This window comes from Homo sapiens, chromosome 15 (assembly GCF_000001405.40).
Source record: "Homo sapiens chromosome 15, GRCh38.p14 Primary Assembly".
NCBI lineage: Eukaryota > Metazoa > Chordata > Mammalia > Primates > Hominidae > Homo > Homo sapiens.
The window spans coordinates 27,059,221-27,084,281 of NC_000015.10; the positions used below are offsets into that span (position 1 = coordinate 27,059,221).

The 25,061-nt window shown below is 45.7% G+C and overlaps 1 protein-coding gene and 1 long non-coding RNA gene across 3 annotated transcripts in view; one reads left to right on the forward strand and one right to left on the reverse strand.

Moving 5' to 3' along the window:
• Positions 1-12,885, reverse strand: part of LOC124903449 (uncharacterized) — a 33,128-nt gene extending 20,243 nt beyond the window's left edge. The window contains exons 1-2 of the long non-coding RNA XR_007064545.1: positions 12,801-12,885; positions 7,060-7,194 (exon numbers count right to left, since the gene is read on the reverse strand). This is a non-coding gene — a long non-coding RNA (uncharacterized LOC124903449). The remainder of the gene's footprint in view (positions 1-7,059; positions 7,195-12,800) is intronic.
• The window catches only part of GABRG3 (gamma-aminobutyric acid type A receptor subunit gamma3), a 570,804-nt gene that overhangs the window by 88,040 nt on the left and 457,703 nt on the right, over positions 1-25,061 (forward strand). The gene's annotated exons all lie outside the window — the stretch shown is intronic.

Here is a 25,061-nt window from a genome sequence, read left to right on the forward strand (position 1 = left end):
GCCTGAAGGGCACCCCTACTGCTCTCTACATTTCCTTTGGGGAGAGCTGAGTCTTGGGGCCACAGCCAGCTACAGGTGGTTTGGAAGCGGGGTTCCCATCTGACAGAGACCATGCTCCCACCTGCAGCCCTTCTGTTGTAGAAAATTGGCAAAACGGATTTTGGTGGACAAATAGCAGTCTCCATCACCGTTCTGTTATTTTATAAGCTGAATCCCAGTTATGAGATACTATGTTGGCTATAATTTCAAAGTTTCTATTGATAGCTGTTATAACACTTTTATTCCAATTTGAAAATTTGGATCAATAAACATTGAATTGGAGATATAGTTCCAAATCAAGAATATAACTGTTCACCTCTTACGCTGTTAAGAAACCTAAAGGCATTTGACATACACTGTTTTGCATTTCTATGTTAGATGTCCAAGAGAGGAGACATGTGTTCCAAGACTGTGGTCCTGAGATGGCATGAAGGCGAGTGATGCAGAGTGAAAGGGTTTCCTGCCATGGGCATAGGTCTGGGTCCTGGCAGACAATGGTGCTTCACTGTGAACAAAGACACAGTTCGATTATTGACCACTAGGTGGCACCACGGAGAATAGAAATGTCTGCACCAATCACCAGGGAGCTGGGAGTGCTCTTTCCTTAAGGATCTGTATTCTATTGTAGCAAAAGGTGGCCATTCCTGCTACCTCTGTGCAGTCAAAGCTTATTGAAGAAAGAACAATGTTCTCTTTTTAGATTTTCTTCTCTTAAGTAGAAATTTATTATAACCTTTAGTAATGCTATAAAATTAAACACTAGACTTTCCACAATGTGGTCATAAACCAAGAGATAAGGAAAAATGGCAACTACATTATTTTAAAATGTGTATTTTGATTTATGTGACAGTAAGGGGAGTTTAAAATCCAGTTGGTTTTTAACATTTTTGTATCTAACTGCTTGTTGTCAAGAGCTTTCCCAGGAGAAGAGATTGTCTAAGACCATTATGCATATTTGTCTAATGTGAACTTTGGTTTTATTTTGCAGCAAGAAAGGGTGGGGTGGCACCTATTTGAATGCAGCCCACTGGCCTGTTGGTGCAATTCCTCCTTGGCCACACTGGCCCCTGAGCAGGGTTGGAGCTTCCCTTTGCAGGTTGGTGCACAAAGATGTGGCATGCTGCTCCAGAAACTGCTCTGGGAAACTGCTGGTGGCCCCACAGGCTCTTGGAACTAACAGACTGTGTCATTATCACATGCTGCAAAGCAAATCCCTGCTTGTAAGGACTCAGCTCAGCTTTAGAAGTTCCCTGAGACTTCGAGAATGTCAACAGATGCATGCTTTCGTGAGTCCGTGCCATTCAGTGAACTTGATGGAATCATTCTGTGTGAAACGTTAAGTGGCGTGGGGATGATGCAGAGACTATTTCTGACGAGTCCCTGCCCAAAAGGAAAATCAAATGATGAGGCAGCAGGAGTCACGTCTAAGTGGAAATACAGAGACCAAGCTGTAGGGTGTAAGGAAGGAGGGACCTTTCTTCCTTTGCCACTTTCACTGGTTATTTTATGTGCTTGAAAATAGCCACAACACTTTCTCCCCTCCATAAAGGGAATGATGGCTTTGGTCTAGTTTTTATATGTCTCTCTTCAGCTCTCATGTCTCCTAGTGGTTCTGACTACAAATAGTTCCATTGTTTCTTCTGTATGGTCCTAATAGGTCTCTGAGGTTTTTTTGGAATCACTAAATGCCACCAAATACTCTCTAGTTTACTTAATAGGGCGATGGCCATACCTCCCTACAATTTTCCTGAGTGACACCATAAGTAGCACATTTTGAATGTAAAAGATGAGAAGGTCATCATACAAAACAGGAGTCTATGAAGAATGAGGCAATTGCCATTGCTTACCTGTGTTTAATATTTTCTTCTCCCAATAAGGTAAACCTATAGACAGGTGTTGTCTATGCTGGTAAGAAGTGAAAGGCCAATTGGTTGAGAGTTTATTGTGTACTTTTACGACCATGGCCGTGTTCATCAGGCGTCTGCTCTTACATCGCTGGTGCAGTGAATGGTGTCCTTGCATCACTCGAACGAGGATGCCCCAGTGGCTAACGGTGTGAGAACACCGCACTGCCTGCTCTCACACTGTATACGGGGCTGGGTGGGTTCTGAACGCTGGCCATCTGGCTGATTAGGGTTTTTAATAAGTCTATCGTAACAAAACAATGCTCCATTGAGGTAACTGCTCTTTTTTTTTTTTTTTGTTAAAATTAAATGTCATATTTTGCCCTTTCACTAGAAAACAAACTGTTCAGCTGCATAAAGCCCTCCAGATTATGATTTAAACTGTCTCAAGTTTCATCCATGTATTTATGAGTGATGTTCCCGCATGCCAGTCACAAGCAGTAGAGATTTATGGGCAGTACTGGTTTCAAAGAAAATGCTCAAGTTGATTGATGGGGCAAGTCTCCCTATCTCCTATCCCCCTGCTCCCCACCAAAGAGAAAAAAAGTCTTTTCCCTGCTAACTGCAGTGCCAGCTTTGACCCTGACTTAGTTGATAACCTTGAATAAATTGCATTCCAGTAGCAAGCCAGATGGATTTTAAAGGGTATCCGGGCCTGGTGGAAGCCTCAGCACCCCTCTCCCGCCCCGTGTGGAAATCCTGCTGTGCTCCCGAGAGGCACTGCCTGCCCTCTGCTCTGGCATTTTCCCTAGGAGGCACTTCCATGTTTGAACAGTTCCTATGACTAACAGATGCTTCTCAGGAAGCTGAAATCAGCCTCCTCCTTCCTTCTGTCCACTGACCCTATACTTTGCCTTCTGGAGTGCTACAGAATCTCTCTCATCCACCATCATGGGCTGCCTTCCGGGCAACTGGCGGCAGCTGTCATGTTCTCTGAGTCTTCCTGTCCCATGAGAGTGCCTGTGATAGAGTTTCCAGACCTGGCCATCCCACAGGACTATTGGCTGTGCAAACGGGGACTCCCCTTTGGAGCCAGAGTCTGTGGATGTGGAGTCACAGGAGAGGGAGCTGGCTCCGCTGTGCTTATATGTGCAGGTGGGCATGTGGGTGCTGGTGAGTTCACCCTGACCACTTTTAAAAGACTGAGTATCGGCTGGGTGTGGTGGCTCACGCCTGTAATCCCAGCACTTCAGGAGGCCGAGGCAGGCAGATCACCTGAGGTCAGGAGTTTAAGACCAGCCTGGCCAACATGGTGAAACTCCATCTCTACTAAAAAAAAAAAAAAAAAAAAAAAATTAGCCTTGCATGATGGCAGGTGCCTGTAATCCCAGCTACTCAGGAGGCTGAGGCAGGAGAATCGCTTGAACCTGGGAGGCAGAGGTTGCAGTGAGCTAAGATCCTGCCATTACACTGCAGCCTGGGCGACAGAGAGAGACTGTGTTTCAAAAAACAAACAAACCAACAAAAACAAAAAACAAACAAAGAAAAATCACTGAGTATGTCAATCTTTAGCTTGAGAGCAGGAATAGATAGTTTTAACTAACTGTGAACAATCCTTTAACCAGATGTTTTATGTTCATGTGCAGGTGCCACAAGGGCCAGGTGTAGAGAGTTAGTACTTACTAGTTAATGCTCCATTAATTTTCACTGAACTGTAAAGGATGTGTTTAAAAGATAAAGTAAATCCTAAAAGAGAAATTTAACAGTTAATTTCTTTGGCGCTATTACTTTATTTGTAAAATAAGTGGATTTGGCCAAAATTATATCTGGGATCTTTTTGGCACTAATATCTGCTGATCCTTTCAATAGAAAAGAAATTCATGTATCATGGTTCAATGTCGTGAGACGGCATTTTGCACTGCAAAATGTAAACAGCAGGTGACGCGTGATGCGTTTTCCCCCCCAATGAGGAATGAGCTCAAAGGATGAAATGTGTAGTTTTAATTACTCCCTTGCCTAAGCCCGACTAAACTGTTGCAAGATGAGGACAAAATTGGAGCCATGACAAAAGTGGAAAGCAGCTGACCAACACAGCTTCCCTTTCAGTGTTATCCCTGCCTGCGCCTCAGGGACACACAGGAGTGTCTTCGGGTGGACGTTTTCAGGTGGAGATCCAGATCTGCAGGTGTCTTTGGCAAACCTTGTGGAGTGCCTGATGTAGTTTGGATGTTTGTCCCCTCCAGATCTCTGTTAAAATGCGATCCTCAGTCTCTGAGGTGGGGCCTGGTGGGAGGTATCTGGATCATGGGGAGGATCCCTCACGAACGGCTTGGGCCATCCCCTTGCTGATGAGTGAGCTCTAGCTCTGAGTTTGCACCAGATCTGGTTGTTTAAGATTGTGTGGGCCCCTGTTTCCCTGGCTTGCTCTGCCCTGACCATGTGATGCGCCTTCTGCCCGTGACTGAAAGGAAGCTTCCTGAGGCCTCCCTAGAAGCAGATGCTTCCTGTACAGCCTGCAGAACTGTGAGCAGTTAAACCTCTTTTCTTCTAAATCACCCAGTCTCAGATATTTCTTTATAGCCTTGCGAGAATGGCCTAAGACAGCACCTTAGGAATGAGCCAGCTCAGGCCAGGTGGGGTTGCCCTGCAGCCTGGCGTCAATCACTGCCATCTTTGCAATGAGCACAGAGTCCGCCCCTGCAGAGCCCCCCAGGTCAGAATGAGCAACACAAGCTGTTCTGGGAGGCAGGAAAGACCTGCTGACCACCCGGCCTGCTCACCCACTTCCCCACACCCCTTCTCCTTTTGCCTCCTTTCCTGACATGGGTGTCATTTCAGGGTTGACATGAAACCCACACAGTCCATCCCTTACTGCCCTCTAGGTGCTGTCCCCAGTCAGAGAAATGATCAACCAAGCAACTGTTTTTGGAGACGCAGTAGATTCGTTTAATGTGTTTATCTCAAGATGCAAATGATCCCTTGAGTTTGGAGAGAGAAATGGAAGGAACTGGACACGTAGTGGGGTGGCAGAGAGTGCAGGGTGGAGGTACAGAGGAAGTCCGCAGCCTCTCCCCAGGAGGGCGCAGGGTGGAAAACATGCTTTTGATACTGGATACTTGCAGTGTTGGCTAGCATGAGGTGTGAGAAGCAGATGGCCACACGTCACTCTGGTTAGAGAAGTGAAATGTTTCAGCCTGAATCGGGTCTTGACCATCAGGTGTGAGAGTCCCTCCAGGCCCGGCGGTAAGGCCTGTGGTTGCGCTGGAGTCATGTGAAATTGGAGCTTGGTGCAGCGTTTCTGACCCTTCTCTTCGTCCATGAATCTCACCCGTTCTCAGGAGCCCCAGCCCACTGGCTCCTCAGGAAAGGGAACGCTGGGCTTTCTGGCCTTTGTCTGGCTTGGTTGGGTGGTCTTGTTGAGGGGTTAGGGCTGAGGTGGGCAGCTGCCTCTTTGTTTGCTGTCCTCTAGCCCCTGTGTTTCAGGAAGCATCCTAAATAATCTGGTGGGGTTGCCTTACTGCTTCCATCATCCTCCAGCCACTCTTCTTTCATCTCAGCTGGGGGCCCAAAGCATTATTTAAAGAATGAGCGTGCAGCACGCAACCCACAGGAGGGCCTCATTTGGGCCTTCTCATCAGAGCAGGGTGTCCACAGGTGCTTTCAGGACTCAGGGCCTCTGCACACCATCCCGTGTGTTAGCAATACTTTATGATTTTGTAGCCATACATGACTGGTTATTGATGGTGCACTGAAAAATCAGGACTGAGTCCCACCTTCTCTTCATGACCATCTAAACATCTTTAAACGTGTGTCAAGTTGTGTTCCTTTTTTAATTAATATACAATTGAGACACTAATTTTAGTCAGTTAAATTTTGTTCCTCCAATAGAGTCACCAGTAAAGAGGCTGACATCATCATTTTTCCTGAGAAGGAGCAGGTGCCGTGTGGTGGGCTCCTGCACCCTCTCTTTGAGGCACCCCATTGCTTCCTTGGCAGCTGGTGACTAGTCTCACGTTGGCTGCCACTCTCAATGGGGACACTCAGGAGGAAAGGCTGTTTATGGCGGTCTACTTTTTACTCACCATAACGAGTGGATGAATGAATGAATGAATGAATACTAAGTGAACAAATGGATGCAGGAATTCTGCTTTATGATCTGCACAATGAAACGTTTAAATAGGACTTGGCTGTTGCTTCTGTGCTGGGGATTCAGCAAAACCTGCTGCTAGACAGTCATCTTTATGTCTAAAAACTGGAAAGGATCTGAGGCTGTTACATTATTATTGCAAGAATTGAAGGCAGAAATCCAGGAATGTGTTTTTCCCTGGTTGGTCGGATGTTTCCCGATGGTGAGGACACAGCAGCCCAATTTCTCTCTCCCTTGGTCCCCGGAGAAGCTGCTGTGAGTAGCCAGTGGGTCTCGGTTCCTTCCATTCCCAATATCCCCTGGGTTTGGACCAGAACATTTACAAGGAAATGTGGAGTCAACTCCAGTAATCTCTGTGTGCTTTGTGTTGTTTTGATAAAAGATGTGTAGCATAAGACTTTCGTTTGCAAAGAACTTACAAGAGAAGAGACCTTAGCTGCCTGCTGAGCAGCCTTCCGGCAGTCACCGGGGTCACCTTGCCACCACTGAACAACCAAAATGCTGCCCAATAGGACACAGCACTTTACTTGCTGCTTTTTGAAAAATAATGGAAAAATAACCTGAACGTTCTTTCAGCCTTGATCTCCATTGGATTCCTCTCCGGGGAATTTAACTAGACAGCTGCAACACTGTGTGGACTTCGGTTTCCAAACAGAGAAAATCCTGGTCAATTTAGACATGTCAACCTGGATTTATACTTTTAATGGGAAAAATATTCTCTGCAGGAAGATGACATTTGCCTCCTATTCTGAGAAAATGACTGATTTTGCATGATCATACTCCTATACTGTTGCTCAATGATAGCTGAAATAAATCAGCGAAAGTGACATTGGCTGTTTGCAATGATTAAACATTAGATGTCTGGAAAACATCCTTTGGTCATTTATATTCAGGATATTTCAGACATCTCTGATACTCCTTTTTTTCCTAAGCCCTGATAGAGCTAATAGTACTTACTATGATATAGTTACGTTCATACAAACCTCACTCAATACTAACAGTGTATCTTTTAAGCATCAAAGTCATCACCTGTTGTAGTTATTCCATCCATTTCTGCATATTCTTGAAGTTGTGTGGCCATTTTTTCTGTGTTTATGTCTTTTGGAGGGATAGGGCTGTTTCAGCGTTGCTGTTGAATGGTCTAGAAGACTGGCTGGTCCAAACCTGAGACAAGAAAGAGCTCCTAACATTAGAAACAATTGGGACTGCTTTCAATGAGATGCCAACACATAGTTGATGCTATGATTTTAAATATGCCTGGAAGAAAAAGAAAAATAGGCCCCATTTAAGTGGAAGCATTTAAAAGTAGACCTCAGGCCACCAGAAGGACTTTCAGAAAAACAAGTGGTATCCACAGGTGCAGGGAAAGACCTCTTAGTCTGAGAGCAGGTATTACAGAATGTGTGGGCTGACCACAGAGAGAGGCCAGAGCCTGATCAGCATTCAGGAGGTCATATGTGGGTCACTTTTCCTGGACGCCCATTCTGTTCTATCTTGAAAAGTGATATCTTGTTCATTTGCATGCTTCCAGAATAATCCCTTTCCTGATTTTATCCCGTTAAATCCTTCAAGTTCTAGGAGTGAAGAAATTTGTATTTCTTTAGAATATCACATAGATACACTGCTGCTATCTGTAATGCTGAGAAATAGAATGTCAAGGGTGAGGCAAACAGAAACCACAACTACATACTACTTCAGTGCAACAGGACTTTGAGGGGCATGGTGGGATAATCTGACTACTAGCTTCTCTCTGGCCAAGAAAAATACAAATATCAGCAAGTACAGGAGTGCACTGTTCCTGGGTTTTAAATCACGTGCACACATGAAAACATAGCACAGCCCTGCCCAGCCTCCCTGCGGCTGCACCTTTGCCGTGGAGGGAGCATTTTGTCGTGTAATGTTCTCCCGTCCCTCCAGTGGGAGCATCTGGGGCTGGTGAAGACGTGGCACTCCAGGAGCCGAGTGGACCTGGGGTCACCCAGATAAAAGCCACCAGGCAGGGCTTCAGCTCTCTGCCTTCTCCTGGAAGTTCGTGTCTGTGTTTCACTACGCAGCTGGCGGGGCAGGGCTAGGTGTTACATGGACTTTGCCTCACTCCCCATCCACCCGCACCCTTCTGTGTCCCCTCTCGTGATGTATGATGGAGGGAGCGTGTTCCTGCTAAGGGCTCGCCTCTGCCCCTTTCCGGAGAACATGGAATCACCTTACCCAGAAGGTTTTGTCCCATGCTCCCCAGGGTGGCCGACAACCGGGTCACACCCAGGGCCTTTGCTGCAGATGGGGTGATTCTGTGATCCTTGGTGCTCCAGAGTGCCCCTGTGGGCCAGGCTGCAGCTGCCTCCAGCTGAGACCGCATCCTTAGCTTTTCCTCCTTTCTCCACTCCCCTTCCCTTTCCTGACTCATCCCATTTCAGGCCCCGATTTTGGGGAGGCTGAGCCCATCAGCTTAGGCACCTGGAACTTTAGGTCTGTTCAGGCGGCTCTGCCTTCCAAGCCTGGCTGTTCAGGCCTCCTCTTTATTTTGTGAACACCCAGCTATCCTGTACTAATCTCTTTTCTGTTCTAAGTCAGCTAGGGTTGGTGTCTCTTGCTTGCAATCAGGAGATCTAACAGCTTTATGCCTGGATCTGCTAGGATCAGATCAGAAGAGGGAAGCTGCATCATACTTTGAACATGAAAAGTTTAATATAGAGAATTACTAATAGGCATTGGAGTAGAGAAGGCTTAGCTAGTAAGTAGAGTGCACAGAAGAATACAGGAATAGCAGAGAAAAGGAGCACATTAAAAAGAAATAGATACCTAAGGAGGGATCATGGCCATGGCTCAATGGATGGCAGAGGGGTTGCTGCAGAGCTGCACCCATGAAACCTGCCAGAAATCTACCCTCCAAGCTACCAGAGAGATCTGCTCACAGGAAGGTGTCTCACTGGGGAATTACTCCACTGAAACATCACCCGAGGAAGGTGCTGGTGGAAGCTGCTGGCTGCGAAGCATAACCACTGCTGTGTAACAGAGGAGCCAGGTGCTGGGGGAGATGCTCGCACTGCAGGAGCTGGGCACTGGGGAAACTGCTGCAGGAGCCTGCGGCTGGAGGAGCCATCCACACTGCAGGAGCAGAGCATTGCAGAAACTCTGTGCACTGTAGGAGCCTGGAGCTGGAAAGGCCCTATGCACTGTAAGAACTGGGCACTGGGGAACTGTATGGGTGGCAGCGGTCTGGCTGCAGGTGTCTGCTCAGACAGCACTGCAGAAACAAGAAGGAAACTTTTGGCAATGTTTCTTCAGCATCCTCTGCTGACAAAGCTTACTGCCAGTTAGCAAAGGAGATATATTTGTAGGGCCCAGATCCATTTTCACAAAACAGTCAATGAAGGGTGAATTCAGAGCTGAGAGGCATGGATTGATACTTGGAAAAATGCCTCATTTCCTTACATGTTGCACTGGCAGGGCCTCTTAGCTAGTCATGGATATGACAGGGAGTCTGTGATAAACATGCAGTGCAGTTGCAAAGAGAAAGACTGAAGTGGGTGAGTTGTATCTTCTTCAAAAATGAAAGTGAAAAACATTTACCTGGGAACTGCAGTTAGGGCATTTTGTTTAATCAGTGCTCCATAATCTCTTACTCTCCCAGTCTCCCTGAACCTTCTGAGAGAGATGATACCTCCTGTTCTGGGTACCACATGCCACTGTTTCCCAGCAAGCACACCACTCAGGCATCATTGCAGGAACTGCTAATTTTAAGTAGGACTTTGTTTCCCCACCTTGCAAATGGGACCCTAAATCCCAAGGGAGAGAAATAACTAAGAGAAGGCATGTTTACGCTGGGTCAAATCATTTTGCCCTCGTTCTTGTTTTGTCAGCTTGCAGTTCTGTGCCACAAGGCAGCTGCAGGGGTGCCGTGTGCCCTTGAGACATGGGTCTGCTCACAGAACCCTCAAGCTGCTCAGTGCTTCTTAACAATGAGTAATACTTCCAGGGTTTTATATTTGTGAATTTTCTAAAGTCAAGTATAATTTTGGGATTAGACACTTGTTCTAGACATTCATGGCATAGTGGAGGGAGCACTGGACATAGAGGCAGGCTACATCCCTCTAGGCACCTGGGCCACCCTGAAAGCCTCTCTGTGTCTCCTGTCTCAATTGCTGTGGGCCCACAATGAATGAGTTACATGAAAAAGTTCTAAAATGTTGTGCACTTCTACGGTTCTACCGTGTATCAGGTAACTGTACACTGTCAGAGAGACTCGCGCAGGAATCAAAACTGTGCATACACATCCATCTCCTCTCTTTCGCTGTGTGCATATAAGGGTCTGAGTGTGTTTATGTGTAAATATGAAAGGGAAAGGCTAGCAGAGTATAAACTAAAATGTTAACTGCCGTTATTATAAGAAACAGGATTATTATTTAAACTATGATTTAAATTTCCACCTGTATACTTTACTGGATCTTCCAAATGTTACACAATCTGGAATCATCACTAGTATTATCAGGAAAAGTAGAACTTATTTAGAAGTAATATTCAGCTCATCTGTTTTCAGAGTATAAATACCCATGTTGAAACACATGCAAAAATCAGATGCCTTGGTCGTTAATATCCACTGGAGAAATGGGCACAGAGAGCTTGCAGTAGTGCCTGTGGATCTTGCAACAGTACATTGTGGAACAGTGCTTTTTCCAAATACCATTCTGTCTCTGCTCATGCTGGTAATTCTATCGTTTCCATTGGAAGACAATGCAAGCTGCCCTTCCCAGAAGAGGCAGGAAGAGAAGTGAATTAGAGAGAGGAAGGAGAGAATTGTGTGTTGTGAAAAAAACAGAAAACCAAGGAAGAACAAGATGGCTATCCAATGCTCCTGGAGGGGAGTCCTCCCCCACGTGAGGACAGGGCAAGTGCCCAGATTCCACTTATGTCATCTTGTCTGCAAAACAAAACCTTTTGCAACAGCCTGAATGCAGTTTGGACCTTTCTCTGTATCTTCAGTGCCGTATACAAAGAGACAGATAATCAAATAAGGATATTGCTTCCCATTGGTAGGATGTGCATTTGGTGTGACCCAGGAACTGTTCTGGAACATTATCAAGAGGTTATGACCATATGCCAAGTTGAAAATGTCTGTTTTCATCATTCAGAGGGACTGTGACCACATAGAACATTCCATTATGCCAGGCTTCCCTCCTCTGTTCAATCCAACTGCACTCCACGTATGAGTGAAACTCATTGAAAAATCTTGTGAATATAAGTTTCACATCAGTAAAATTTCCTCTCTTGCACCCTTAAGAATGGAATTATGCTTGTCACCAACATTTGGAAGAATATTTGGTCAGTTCATATTTTTGCCCTTTTTTGCTTTAGAGATTGAAGTAGAGGATTTGATGAAATGTTAAGGTTTATGACAATTTGTATAAATGAAAAACCTGGAATGTATTTCTTCTTGGCCCTGAGCAAGCAGTGACCCTAAAGGCATTTGGGAAGCCAGAAATGGAGTGCACTGGTAGGGTGATTTATTTAGAAAATAGGAATCTTGGAAATAAATCACTAAAGTAAGTGTTTCAGTGATGGATGGTCACATCTTATTCTGAATTTAGAAAATGAGAACTACCCAATTCACTCCTTTGTGTTCAAAGGTAGCCCCTCAGAGCCTCCCTGTGGCTGGCTGAACCCAGCTCCGCTTTGCAGGTGCAGACGGGACTGCGAGGTCCTCTCCAGCCTAAGGACCTCCTGAAGCGCTGGGAGAACCTGCTTGGTGGCTGCTTTCTAATGCCCTGTTCATCTGAATAACTAGGAGGAAGTCTGAGCTTACAATCAGTGTCTGTGTTGTTTTTCAAAATCTGGGCTCCCTCGTATCCTAGGCAACCATTTAGAGGAGAGAGAATGCAAAGTGGGAGGCGTCCTGTGTGTTTAAGTCACAACCCCTGGTCCCTGGGTAGTAGCTGTGTTGATATTGTCATTTTGACCCTTTGGGGCCAAAGCTGCTAGGAGCCAGTGGTGTTTGGTGGCATTGTGTTGCATGTAGAGGCCAAGGAGGGGGCATTTCTACCCTTTTGCCACCCTACCCCCTTCTCCTCTCTTCCCTCTGAGTCCAGTCGCCTCGGACAGCGCTGATTCGAGGTGAGGCTAGAGGAAGGCCTGTGCTAATTGCACACTAGCTGACATACCTGCCCCACACCTGCTTTGTTGCTTTTGCTGGTAAATGCAGCAACGACACAGCAAACCTGAGTGCTCCCATTAGGGAAGCTGGTGCACCTGTCCTGATAGAGCTCTCCAGCTTGACGGATGTCTGCCTTTCAGTACCGTGTCCATAGATGTGATTGCTTTTCCTGACTGGGGCAGTCTGCACACTGTGGGAAGGCCAGCGCAGGTGCAGCAAAAGCACCTGGCGGCTCTCTCTGGCTGTAGTACGGTGAGGCTGGGGTTTTCTCCCTCAGCGATAAAGCAATATCAACTGGAGATATGCTGAAGACCTATTTTCTAGAGGTGTCAAAATTGTAATGTTTGCAGACAGATATGGATATTTACTCTGAATTTGGGTTGTTAAGGTATTACCTTCTTAAAGTGTATCTTAAGCTTGAAGATTGTATTCAAGCGTACTAAGATGGCTTTTCTGGTGAGCAGTTATTACTTGATTAGTTGATTACTTTCCTCTTTCACAGTTGTGGGGATAAGAAAAAACAGTCTCCACAGCTCCTCTCAGGCTGGAAGATAGATCAGGTCATTTCCTACTAAATCAGGACGGTATTTAAGCCATAAGCAAAGCCGCACAAAGAGCTCACCTGATTGGTTAGCTATTGCAGTTCCTACAGCCTTGATTTTCTCATCCCGCCCTTAAAAGTAAGAGCCTTTCGAAGTACCCCACCTCCAATCATGCTTTCGTAATGACAGCTTCCTTCTGCTCCTGAAGGTCCTGAAGGCTGCCAGCTCTCCTTGTGAGTCTTCTCATGGTCTGAAAACTCAAGCCTGCAAGGAAATACATTATTTATTTTTTCATATTACGAATGGAATTTCTCTCTGTGTCCCCAGTCCACTCGGTAACATTGTGAGGTACATCAACTTTGTCTTCAGCATCCTACCTCCTTCTCCATGGACACCCTTCTTTTTCTTCATTCCTTCATTTCCTTTTCTTCATTCCTTCATTTCCTTTTTCCTTCATTCCTAACCACCCAGGTATTCATCTTAGTCCAAGATTCTAGAGGACACTCAAAATAGCTTCAGATACCACCTCTCTCAGGACATTTCATCTCACTTCATATCAGCCTGTAGGATTCATTTTATTAGGGTATGCTAATTGTTGTGACAGATAGACTCCAGAGGGTACAATGACTCAAATGACACCAGTCCATTTCTTGCACAAGTGACTTACTGCGGAAGGAACAGGTCGGGGGCAGTGCGTCTCCAAGCTGGCCTGAGGGAGAAGGCTGACAAGGACTTTGCCTTCCTCAGCCCCTGGCTCCCAAGGTGCCCCAGGATTGTTTCCATACCACCCACCATGAGGAGGAAGGGGGGTTTGCCAGAGGCACTGTGGGCCAGGCTCAGAAGTGCCACGCTTCTCTCTGCCTGTGGACTCACTCAACTGCAAGACAGCCCAGAAAGTTAATTCCCAGGAGAAATTGTTCCCTGTGGAGTGGAAAATGTGGAATTCTGGGATATGGCTGGCCATCCCTGCCACAGCCCACTGCTCTGGCCAGCAGATAGTCAGACTGACCCTATTTTCCAAATGTAGGCCAAATACATTTACTACCAAACTAGCAACAAACAAACAAACAAACAAAAACAAGTTCCTGTCCAGTGCTGCATCCAGCCCAGGGTCCCGGATACCTGAGCAGTCTGTTGAGTGTGGGGTGACTTGATGTGTCCAGGGATTGAGGACTCCCAGCACACCCATCCAAAGCATGATAGGGAAGCAGAGGCAGAATCCTCTCTAGAAACTCCCTCCTGGAAAGGGAATAGAGGAGTTCACACAGCCTTCAGGAATGGAGCCTCATGAGATCCTGCCTGGCAGATGTCCTGCAGCATGTCTGCCTGGAAGAGGAGGGGACCCCTGGTGCTGGCTGTACTTCTGCAAGGTCTTTCTTGTCCATGGTCCTCCAGGACCTCCAGTGAGGTGTGTCAGCAGCATGCCTCAGGGGTGCCACCCCATGTGCCATTTGCTTCTGCTTCATAGTGGCTGTGTCCAAGGCAGATGAAACAAGAAGCTTGGCTTAGAGATGACATCTTCACCTGGTCATTAATGAAGTGCTGCCACCAGCTGTGACTGGGAATTCTCAACAGGCTTTTGTAGCTTAAAGTCCTTTATAATTCTGCCTGCTATCATATAGCTCCAGATGCACATTCCTGGATTCCCTTTTCTTCTACTGTTTATTTCTGCTTTTGCACAAATCCATGTTTGACTGAGCTCACCTTGTGAACTAGTTAGCTATTGCTATTTAATAATGTCTCCACAAGCTCAGTGGCTAAGATAACACACATGGATTAGCTCACATATTCCAAGGGACAAGAGTCCAAGCTTGACTTGGCTGGGCCTTCTGCAAGGTGGAGATTGGGGTGTCGGCCCTGGCTGGGTTTCCATCTGAAGGCTCAACTGAGGAAGGATCACTGCCAAGCCCTCGTGGTGGTTGTTCACATGGATTTCCTCACATCAACAGATGGCCTTGGTTTCTGTATTAGTTTGTTTTCATGCTGCTTATAAAGACTGGGCAATTTACAAAAGAAAGAGGTTTAATTGGACTTACAGTTCCACGTGGCTGGGGAAGCCTCACAATCATGGTGGAAGGCAGGGAGGAGCAAGTCCCATCTTACATGGATGGCAGCAGGCAAAGAGAGAATGAGGAAGACAGAAAAGGGAGAACCCTAATAAGACCATCAGATCTCTTGAGACTTAATTTACTACCAGGAGAACAGTATTGAGGAAACCGCCCCCATGGTTCAATTATCTGCCACTGGGTCCCTCCCACAACACAGGGGAATTATGGGAGTACAATTCATGATGAGATTTGGGTGAGGACACAGAGCCAAACCATATCAGTTTCTTACTGAGTGTTGACCAGAGACTACCACGTGGCCTTTTCTGACAAGGCTGTGTTTCGTCAGAGCCCCAAGAGAGAGAGTGTTCCAGCAAGGTGGATATCACAGTCATAATCACAGGAGTGACATGTGACCGCTTCCTTCTGTGCTGCTGGCTAGAAGCATGTCTCACACGCTGCCCACGCTCAGTGCAAGGGACAAGAGTCCAAGCTTGGCTTGGCTGGGCCCTGTGCAAGCCAAGCTTGGACTCTTGTCCCTTCCTCGGAGGATGGGACTGCCCAAGGCTGGAGTACCAGGAGGTGGCTCTAATTTCAGCCCATCCTGGAACCTTTATCAAGAACCTACTCTGTGTGAATATATTCCATAGCATTTACTTTTTTTTTTTTTTACAAGATTGAAGCAACTATTATTATCCTTACCTCGCAAATAATAAAATTGAAGTTGAGATCCCTTAGTGTCTGACACTAACTGGTGGAGCAGGTGTTCAAATGTAGGATTTAGTGTAACACATCAGGAGTGTGTGTGTAGGCAGTGAATGGATGGCACAGGTGGAAAGCGAATCGAAGGAAGTGAAGCTGAAAAGAAATGTTGGGGTTGGTTTTTAAAGAGTTGGACATTACATGGAGGCTTTATTCCAAAGTTCCTGGAGGAGCCACTGTGTTTGAATGATGAGAACATGTACTCATCTTCATCAGTTTTAAGTAATAGTTGTGGTCAGACTTAACAGCCTACATTCAAAGGTGAGGTTGAAGGACATTTTTATTGATACTAATATATGAATAAAACCCAATCAACTTCAAGTAAAATGTGAACACGATTTTCAAAAACAATTTTTTAGAATTTCACTTAGATATTGGTGATTTTTTTCTCATTTGTTTAGAGTAATATAACTGACTATTAATAATTCTTAAGATGAGGTGAAAATTATTTAACTGAAAGGCTTCCCTCTTTTATTGAGCAAAACATCTCATGGTATTTAGTGGAATAGGTTTATGCTAATTTTAAGACATATTGAAGCTTTTTAAACAAAGACATTTTATTTGCAAATGATTACGTGTGGAGGCTTTACACTGGTTGAGCTATGCTATGGTTTCTTGAGAAGGGAAATGGAATCTTGGTTTATTTTGGCATCCTAGCATCAGGGATGGTGCCTACCACATTGCAGGAGCTCAGTGCTGGACTATGCAATGAATAAGTTATAAAATTTATCCTCAATCTAGTGCAAAAATGAAGGCAAACCCTAGAGCTGAAGGCTTTGTACATTCGGCAGAGAACTCTTTCCATATTGTTTATATAAGAAATTCATTCTGCCCTCTGAATAATTCATGGGACCTGAGTCAAACAATCCAAAACCCAGAAAGCAAGCTAGAGGAGATGTTCAAAGTCATATCATTTAGACCATTAAAAGAAATCCGTGTCATAAGGCAATATGAGCTTTGCACTTCAGAGGATGTATAAGTCATTTTGTTGAGGAAGAGGTGGATTTTCTATGGAGGTATCAGGATGGCTCCCTGGTGGGGGTGAGACTTGTGCTTGAAGGACAAGTCCTCTGTCAGATCATGAGGAGTGTGAAGGATTCCAGTCCAGGGGAACCCAGTGTAAAGGTCCTGATTTAAGGAACTGTCATCCAGATGCTATGTGTCTGTTCTACCATGTGCTGGTCCTTTCCACAGTGCGAGTCACGGAACGGAAGTGCTGCTAGTGTTTGCGCAGCATGTGAGTTTCTCTGTGTCCCCGCGCTGAGGGTTGCAGAGTCATTTGGGGGGCTTCCTCACAGTCTTGAGCTTGCAGGTGTTTGGTCCTGAGTGTTCATCTTGTAGACTGCTGCATTCTTTTCTGCCATCAGTGGTTTCAGCAAGAGCCCTGGCACCAAGAACTTTGTTTTCATTGGTTGACAGAATGGCAGAACTTGACAGGTCTAGACCTTCTCCCCAGTCCTTTGGCAGGTGGAAAGTGATGTCCCCCAAAACATCCATGCCAAATCCCTGGAAGCTGCAGCAGCTGACATGTTTATAAAAGAGCCTTTGCTGATGACATTGAGCCAACTGTCTTTTTTTTTTTTTTTTTTTTTTTGAGATGGAGTCTCACTCTGTTGCCCAGGCTGGAGTGCAATGGCATGATCTCGGCTCACTGCAACCTCCACCTCCTGGGTTCAAGCGATTCTCCTGCCTCAGCCTCCTGAGCAGCTGGGACTATAGGCGTGCAGCACCACGCCCATCTAATTTTTTTGTATTTTTAGTAGAGATGGGGTTTCACCATGTTGACCAGGATGTTCTCGATCTCCTGACCTCATGATCCACCCACCTCAGCCTCCCAAAGTGTTGGGATTGCAGGCATGAGCCACCGTGCCCGGTGAGCCACCTGTCTCAAGATCATCCTGGACTTCCTGGGTGGGCCCTAATCCAATGCTGAGTGTTCTTAGGAGGGAGGCAGAGAGAGGTGGACAGAAGAGAAGATAAGGCAGGGCATGGAGTGACACTGCCACAAGTCAGCAGACACTAGAGGCCATCAGAAGCCGGAAGAATGGGGAATGATTCTGCCCCAGAGCTCAGGAGGGAGCATGGCCCTACCAGCACTTTGATTTAGGATCTCTGGTGTCCAGAGCTGTGAGAGAAAAACATTTTGTTGCTTTTACCAACCACGTTTGTGGTATTTTGCCATGGCAGCCACAGGAAGCTAATGTATCTTCCTTATGAAAAGTGAAGACATTGGTTTCTGAGCATTCAGGTGACCTGCTCCAACCCGAGGCTGCCCTCTGATGATCCCCAATAGCCTTTGAGTTTGGATTCTGTAACGCTGCTGAAGTTTCATGCTTGACCTATCTGTCTTCCTCTGCAATTTTCCTGAACAGACCACACAGTGAGGCCAAACCATGGGCAGTCTTAGCATGACAGTGGCTGGGTGTTCGTGGAGGAGAGAGTTTCTAGGGAGCACCCTGCATGCCCAGCCTCTCTGGGTATCACTGTGTTGCAGCGCGTTTGTGGTTATGTTTCATTAGCAGAGCGGTTCCAACCGTGCTTGCCTGTCTCTGTTTCATACAGGCTTTCTTCAGATGACAATTAGGATTACCAGGTCCCCATGCACCCAGGGTTTGTGGAGCCACACACCGGCTTGTTAGGATCCTTCCAGCCAGCTGCATTTTCCAGAGCAGCTGGACTCTTACTCTCTCATTTTTTTTTCTGTTCTGTTCTATTCTGGGGTGCATTATCTTTAGAAATGCCAAGACAAATGGAAACTAATTTGCAAATGCCCCTTATGGCTTAATTGATTGCTTTCTGTGCTGACCTTCGTGGGTAAAAGGCAGCCAGCAGGAAAAGGAACATCTTCCCCAGACCCCGTGTGAGCCTTCTTCCCCATCACTCTGTCGATTTCCAGAATGTTTTGAGAAAATTGGGTAAAGATGGAAGCAACCATTTTCTGAGATGGCAAGTGATTTGCCAGGTTTTGTAATGCTCCCCTGATCTCTCTCCTCTTATTCAGCTGCAGATTACTCTGGAAATGAAAGGAAGGACTTTTTTTCTCTCTTGTCCTAAACAGTATTTAAGGCTGAGTCCTATGAGGACCAAAAAGTTAGCACTAAGATTGGGCCACTGTGGAGGGCAGTTCTCAGCATCATCACAGCCCAGCAAATATCAGGGGAGCTATTGTGCACCCCAGCCATTCCTCAGCCTCCCCGCCGGGGGTTTGGGGGAGGTGGCTTCAGGTTCTGAAATATGTGCCATGTTTCTGTTTCTCTGGCGCCCTCTGTGATGCTGGCTGGACACACAGACGGGGCTTTCCTTGTGTGATGATCAGTGTTATATGTCAGCTTCACTGGGGGCCATGGAGTGCCGGATAGTTGGTCAAATATTATTCTGGATGTGTTTGTGAGGGTGTTTTTATATGAGATTAACAATTGAGTCAGTAGACTAGGCTTCCCCAATGTGAGTGGGCCTCATTTGATCTGTTGAAGGGCCGGATAGAAAAATGAAAGGCTGACCTCCTCTAAATGACACTGTCAGTCAGTCAGTCAGGTGCCAGATTTATAATTGTGTGAGCCAGTTCCTTCCAATAAATCTCTCTTTCTCGACATCCTTTTGGTTCCGTTTCTTTGGGGGACCCTAATATACCTTGTTTTGCTTTATTATTTGGGGTTTTGATCACTTACTTCTAACTTTGAAAAACCAAGTTTTTAGCTCTTCTATATGCTATGGAAAAATTTCTTTTTATGAAAGGAAAAACATGCCTTAACCACAGCATATCAGGAAATCTGTAGATGTCAGATGAAACTGCAGTAGAGAAATGGAAACATATGCCAGGCAAAGGGTACCGAGGCTATGATAGGAGAAGCACATCTCTGTAGATGTAACACCAGCTGTCACTGGTCACCGCCCAGGGGCTCCTCGTCTTTAAAGAGGGGATAATAAGAGTGTCTTCTTGATTCCTTTGTTTTCAGGATGAAAGGAGACCATGCTTGAAGTGTCTTTCGCATGAGGACCATATTAAGGGCTCAGTAAACATTGGCTGGCCAGTAAAGTGGTCAGTGTTGGGTTGGATGCTGTCCCCCTGCAATGCATATCCTTCCTGGAACCTCAGAATATGACCTTATTTGGAAATAGGGTCATTGCAGATGTACTTACTTAAGATGAGGTCACACAGGACTAGTAGGGTGGGGCCTTAATCCATTGTAACTCCTCTTATAAGAAGAGAAGAGACAGAGAAAAACACCCAGTGGGGTAGAAGGACTCATGTCCATGGGGGCAGAGACTGGAGTGATGCATCTGTGGGCCAAGAAGTGCAAGGATTGCTGGCAACACCAGAAGCTGACAGAAGGCATAGAACCGTTTCCCCCAGACCCTGCAGAGAGAGCATGGCCCAGCTGATGACTTGTTTTGGACTGTAGGCATGGTCGGGTGTGAGCAAGGCAGCAGCACCTCAGGAGACATGTCCAGTGCTCAGGGAGGCTTCATGAAAATCCCTAATCAAAGAGCCAGGAGTTGCTAAAGGAGCCTGCATATGTAAAGAGTAGAGAAGCAACAAGATAGTGCCAAAAAAAAGGCAAATAATTTTGTTTTTATACAATATTGAGGAACTTTTGGAAGTCAGAATACTTTTAAAAATTAAGTATAATAGGATTTAAAGGACAACAGGAGCAGGGAGGCACATGTGTTTGCAGAACAGATAATCACTGTGATTTTCATACAGAAGCCACAAATAGAGTGAATTTAGAAGATGCCGTGTGGAGTGTGTGTGTTGGGAGTGGGTGAGATTTCACTGCAGGATTGATGTAAGTCTTGGCGAGGGCTAACAATCTATCAAGCAGCTTGGATAAAAGGGACAAATGGAAGTGGAGCCGTTTCAAGAACCCCTGAAGGAGTCTGGCAGGAAGCTTGATGGTTCTCACCAGTGAGACCCAGCCTCGGGCCTTCTATTCATGGACAGAATTAAAAAAATAATAACATTGCCATCACTTTGCTATAAAGCAAGGTAAATTGAACATACAGTCTCCAACACTGTCCCAAAACAGCTCTGAAAACTGGATCATGCAAGCCTCAGACATAGCATCATTAAGACCTCTAATGGCTAAGGATGAGTTAGTGGAGAATTAAATAAAAATCAGCCCGCACTTTCTCAGGTTTGCTTTTCTTTTGATTGTCTTCCTGGAAGAAAGGTATCCTCCCAACATCACTCCCAGCTCACTCAGTATGCAGAGGTGGAGCTTTTGAGGGCTGGCTCAGGCTAAGCATCATCTCTAGGGATCAGGGGAAATGCCAGCTGATCTGCCAATATCTCCAAGAAGCCAAGTCCATTTGGAAGAGAGTCATCTTCCTAGAGTAGATGCGTCCTCTCTAAGGTTGCCTCAAGGCTCCCCAAACCATTTCTGTAGCAAGGGGCCATCTTGCTACAGAAATAGTCTAGAAAGTCAGGCATGGTGGCATGCACCTGTAGTCCCAGCTACTGGGAAACTGAGGCAGGAGGACCACTTGAACCCAAGAGTTCAAGGCCAGCCTGAACAACATAGCGAGAACCTCTCTCTAATAAGTAAATAAATAAATAAATAAAAATTAGCTGAATATGGTGGTGTGTGCCTGTAATCCCAACTACTTGGGAGACTGAGGTGGCAGGATCACTTAAGCCCAGGAATTCAAGTCTGCAGTGAGCCACTCCAGCCTGGGTGACAGAACAAGACTTCATCTCTAAAAAACCAAAAACCAGAAAACAAAACATGATTTATAGTCATTCTGATTAAGCTGGGCATGATGGCTTGCACATGTATTCCGAGCTATTCAGGAGGCCAGGGTGGAAGGATCACTTGAGGCTGGGAGTTTGAGACCAGCCTGGGCAACACAGCGAGACCTTGTCTCTAAAAATAAAATGAAATGAAATTAAAAAGTTTTAAAAAAGAAATGTCCAGGAACACACACTGGAGAATGAGTGATAAGACACCGTAAGAGATTGCTTATAAGCAGTGGCCACAGTTATGGCCCTCTGTCCACATTCTTCTACAGTGTGAGTTTCCAATCTCTCCCATCCAGAGGCAAGTCTCTTTCTGGCCCTGGGACTTGCTTCCAACAAGAGGAGCTGGTGCTAGTTAGCCCTCACCAAGCCTGGGAGGCAAAAGGCCTTGTGGTTCCCAGTGACTTGCTTGGAACCCTTCTAACCACCATAGAAACCAGGCAAGCTAGCCTGCTGGTGGGGGTGGTGGTGGGGAGGGGGACAGAGACCTCTCGGAGAAGAGGCAGGCCACCCCACTCAGGTCCTCTTAGGTGAAATGGTCCCTAACGGGTGGCTGAGGGCACACAGCTGAGTGAGTTGAGCCCACTTTGGCTAAGCCTGGCCCACATCAGCAGGACCACAAGTTGACCTGGAGACTCCTGAGCAGTAATAAATGGCTGTTGCTTTAAGCCAGTGAGTGTTGGTTATAGTAAAAGCTAACAGGTATAGATGCTGCCCCCCACAAACAGGTGGCTTGCAAATTAGAAAGCTGGGGCCCAGAGGCTACAAGGATGCTAGATACATACTGATAGAACTAGGATCTTTTAATTCTCATGTTTTGCTGAGTGCTTCTCCTACTAGATTAGACTGCTTTGGGTTGGGAAACTGATGAATTATAATACATATTCTGGTAGAATTAGTAGTTTCCTTAACTATTGTACTTTTATTAAATATTCATTTGAAATTTATTAAATATTAATAAATTATTGAATATTATTAAATATTCACTCATTTATTCTTGAATAGAAATACATTCATTGATTGAAAAATATGTTCATTGTTTGAGGAGTTCTTGGCCACACAGCTATGTCTTATCAATGTGTGGGTGCAGCAGAGGAGGCTGGCCCCAAATGGATGTCACAGCACGCAGTATGGATCACTGACTTACTCCATGGGCCAGGAGGGAAGGGAGCTGGAGTAAACACTGAGTGGCAGGCAGGACCGAGTCCCCTCCCATGCCACTATGATACCAACAACATGGGCTTCCCAGAACCAGCGGCTGAGAGCCTGTGACTGAATCCAGCTGCTGTGGTCGACCCCGCTCCCCAGGAGACATACTGCAGATGCTCATGCTTTTCCCGTATGGGTATGACATCGATTTTCAATAGAAAGGAGGCTCTTGGAGCTATATTTCCTGGTGTGGTAGATCCCTCCAGTGGCTGTTAACAGGTTACATTTCACTGAATTGAGTTCTAATCTTCAGTGAGAGTTCTCTTGGGGACCCAGAGAGTGCTTAAGTTAGAGTGTTTATCTGAACACATCCTGGTGAATGTTTAGTAGTGAAGCAAGGCACACAGTCACATCACATTACAAATAAAATGCCTCACTGTCATCATGAGAAGCTCTGTGGTCAAGATTCCCTTGCCTGCTTCTGGTGGAGGTAGGTTCAGACATGGCCCTGACCCTGTGGCTGTGTCCTCCCTGAGATGACGGAGAGAGTCCTGTATGCTGATTCACAGGGTCAACAAGTGTCAGGCACAAAAACACTGTGGAAAAATAAGTCACAGTGCATTTGACCTCTGACCTGAAAAGCCACCCAATTTCACATGAAGCCTCTTTCCTGCTTTTCATGAAAGGAAATGAAGTTGCAGGTATAATTGTAGAAGAAAGATTCCAGAATGCCACAAATGCATAACCTTGCATTTATGCGGGGAACGCACGAGCTTGTATGACATTCATCAGCATTCATAGCTGAATTTTAAACATAATAAGACAAAAAAAATTCTGCAGGCAATGTTTCAGATCAGAAATGTTATGAGAGGAATCATGACAAGGGGTGCCCTGCATTAAATGGAACCTGATTAGAAGCCACTTGGGCAAGGGTTGGGTCTGCGTCCCACCCCCACAACTGAAGAAGGATGTTGTGGAGTATTCAAGATCACGATAAAACCACAGAGTCATTCCGTAGTTGCAGAACGTGATTGATGTGGAAAGGATAAAGAAAGCAAACTCATTTAGTTTATGAACAGTAGGATAAGAAATGACTGCCAGGAACCACAGATGCCTTTTAAAGTCCGCTGCAATGAAAGCCGCAGTAGACCCTGGCTTGGTGAATGAAGACCAGCCAGGACAGCAGCAGGAATGTTGATGCTTGCTAGAGCTCTGTTCCCTGAGGGACCTGCTCCCGCTTCTCTGTCACTCATGCCTTCTCTGCTGCAAGAGGTGAGCCTCCCCGAACTCCCTGCATCTTGGCTTCTACTACAGAATTCTCAGGACTACAAGTTTTCTCCGTTAACCATTTATCTTGTGCTTTATAAAGGCTGTCTGTGTGTCTGTGTAGTGCAGCTTGTTTCATCATTATATTTTATCACATAAGGTAAAGATCAAACCAGCCTAAACTATATAAAATACATTTTCATGTTTTTAGTGATAACTTACAAGCTCTAGGCTTGTTAGCATAACACAAATGAGGCAGGGAAAAATAGAGGCAGTTTTTATGACTCAAATGATACTTGCAGACAAGCATTAACAAATGCTGTAGTAACAAAGGCTAAGATCATTTTTTTCCTGACTTTCATTCAGAAAGGAAGTGGCATCAAAATTTTAGTCATCTGAACCGACAAGTGGTAAAATTTGGATTCTTGAAAAGTAAGAGCTATTGATTTTTTTTTTTTTTTTGAGTTCTGTCACCAAGGCTGGCGTGTAGTGGTGCAATCTCTGTTCACTGCAACCTCCGCCACCCGGATTCAAGCGATTCTCCTGCCTCAGCCTCCTGAGTAGCTGGGATTACAGGCACACACCATCATGCCTGGCTAATTTTTATGTTTTTAGTAGAGATTTCACCATGTTGGCCAGGATGGTCTCGATCTCCTGACCTCATGATCCACCTGCCTCGGCCTCCCAAAGTGCTGGGATTACAGGCATGAACCACCGTGCCCAGCCAACTTTTCTATTTTCAATTAATTCCCATGACTTCCAAGTGCCTGCAGTTATATGCAATGGCCAAAAAACCATGGCCTCATGAAGGATGTTGAAATCTACATATGGATCATTCTTTCCAAACAGTGTCACAAAGCCCCAGGTACCATCTGCAGTATGTGTTCACCATGTATGTGGGGCATGGGTGTTTCAAATACCCGTTAGCAGTGTTTAAATAGGTAATTGTTTCCCACACTTCTCTTTCTTTATATTTCTTCAATAAGCCTCCGTGTTGACATGCTGTGAAGGTAAGCTGCCAACCTTTCCCTGTCTACATGATCACAGTCCACCTATGACTTGTCACCACATCATCCACAGCAAAAGTGTGTGCAGGGAAGCCTGGTTTGGTGTCTGGGCTGGAGGCACAGTGGAGAGACTCAGCCTCAGGCCTCACCCCACCTGAGAACCCTGGGTCCCAGTAGGCAAACGTTTCATCTCATCCAGGCCGTCTTGCCTCAACCACTTTGCTCACGCTCCATCCTCCAGCTGAACTGCTCAGATAAACTGATGGAATGTTGATTCTTTCAGTTCAGACTCAAATACCATCTTGTCCTTGAGCCTTTTGGGATTATCCCACGTGCCTCTGAAATCCTGCGGTTCTGTGTCTCTCTTAGACCTTT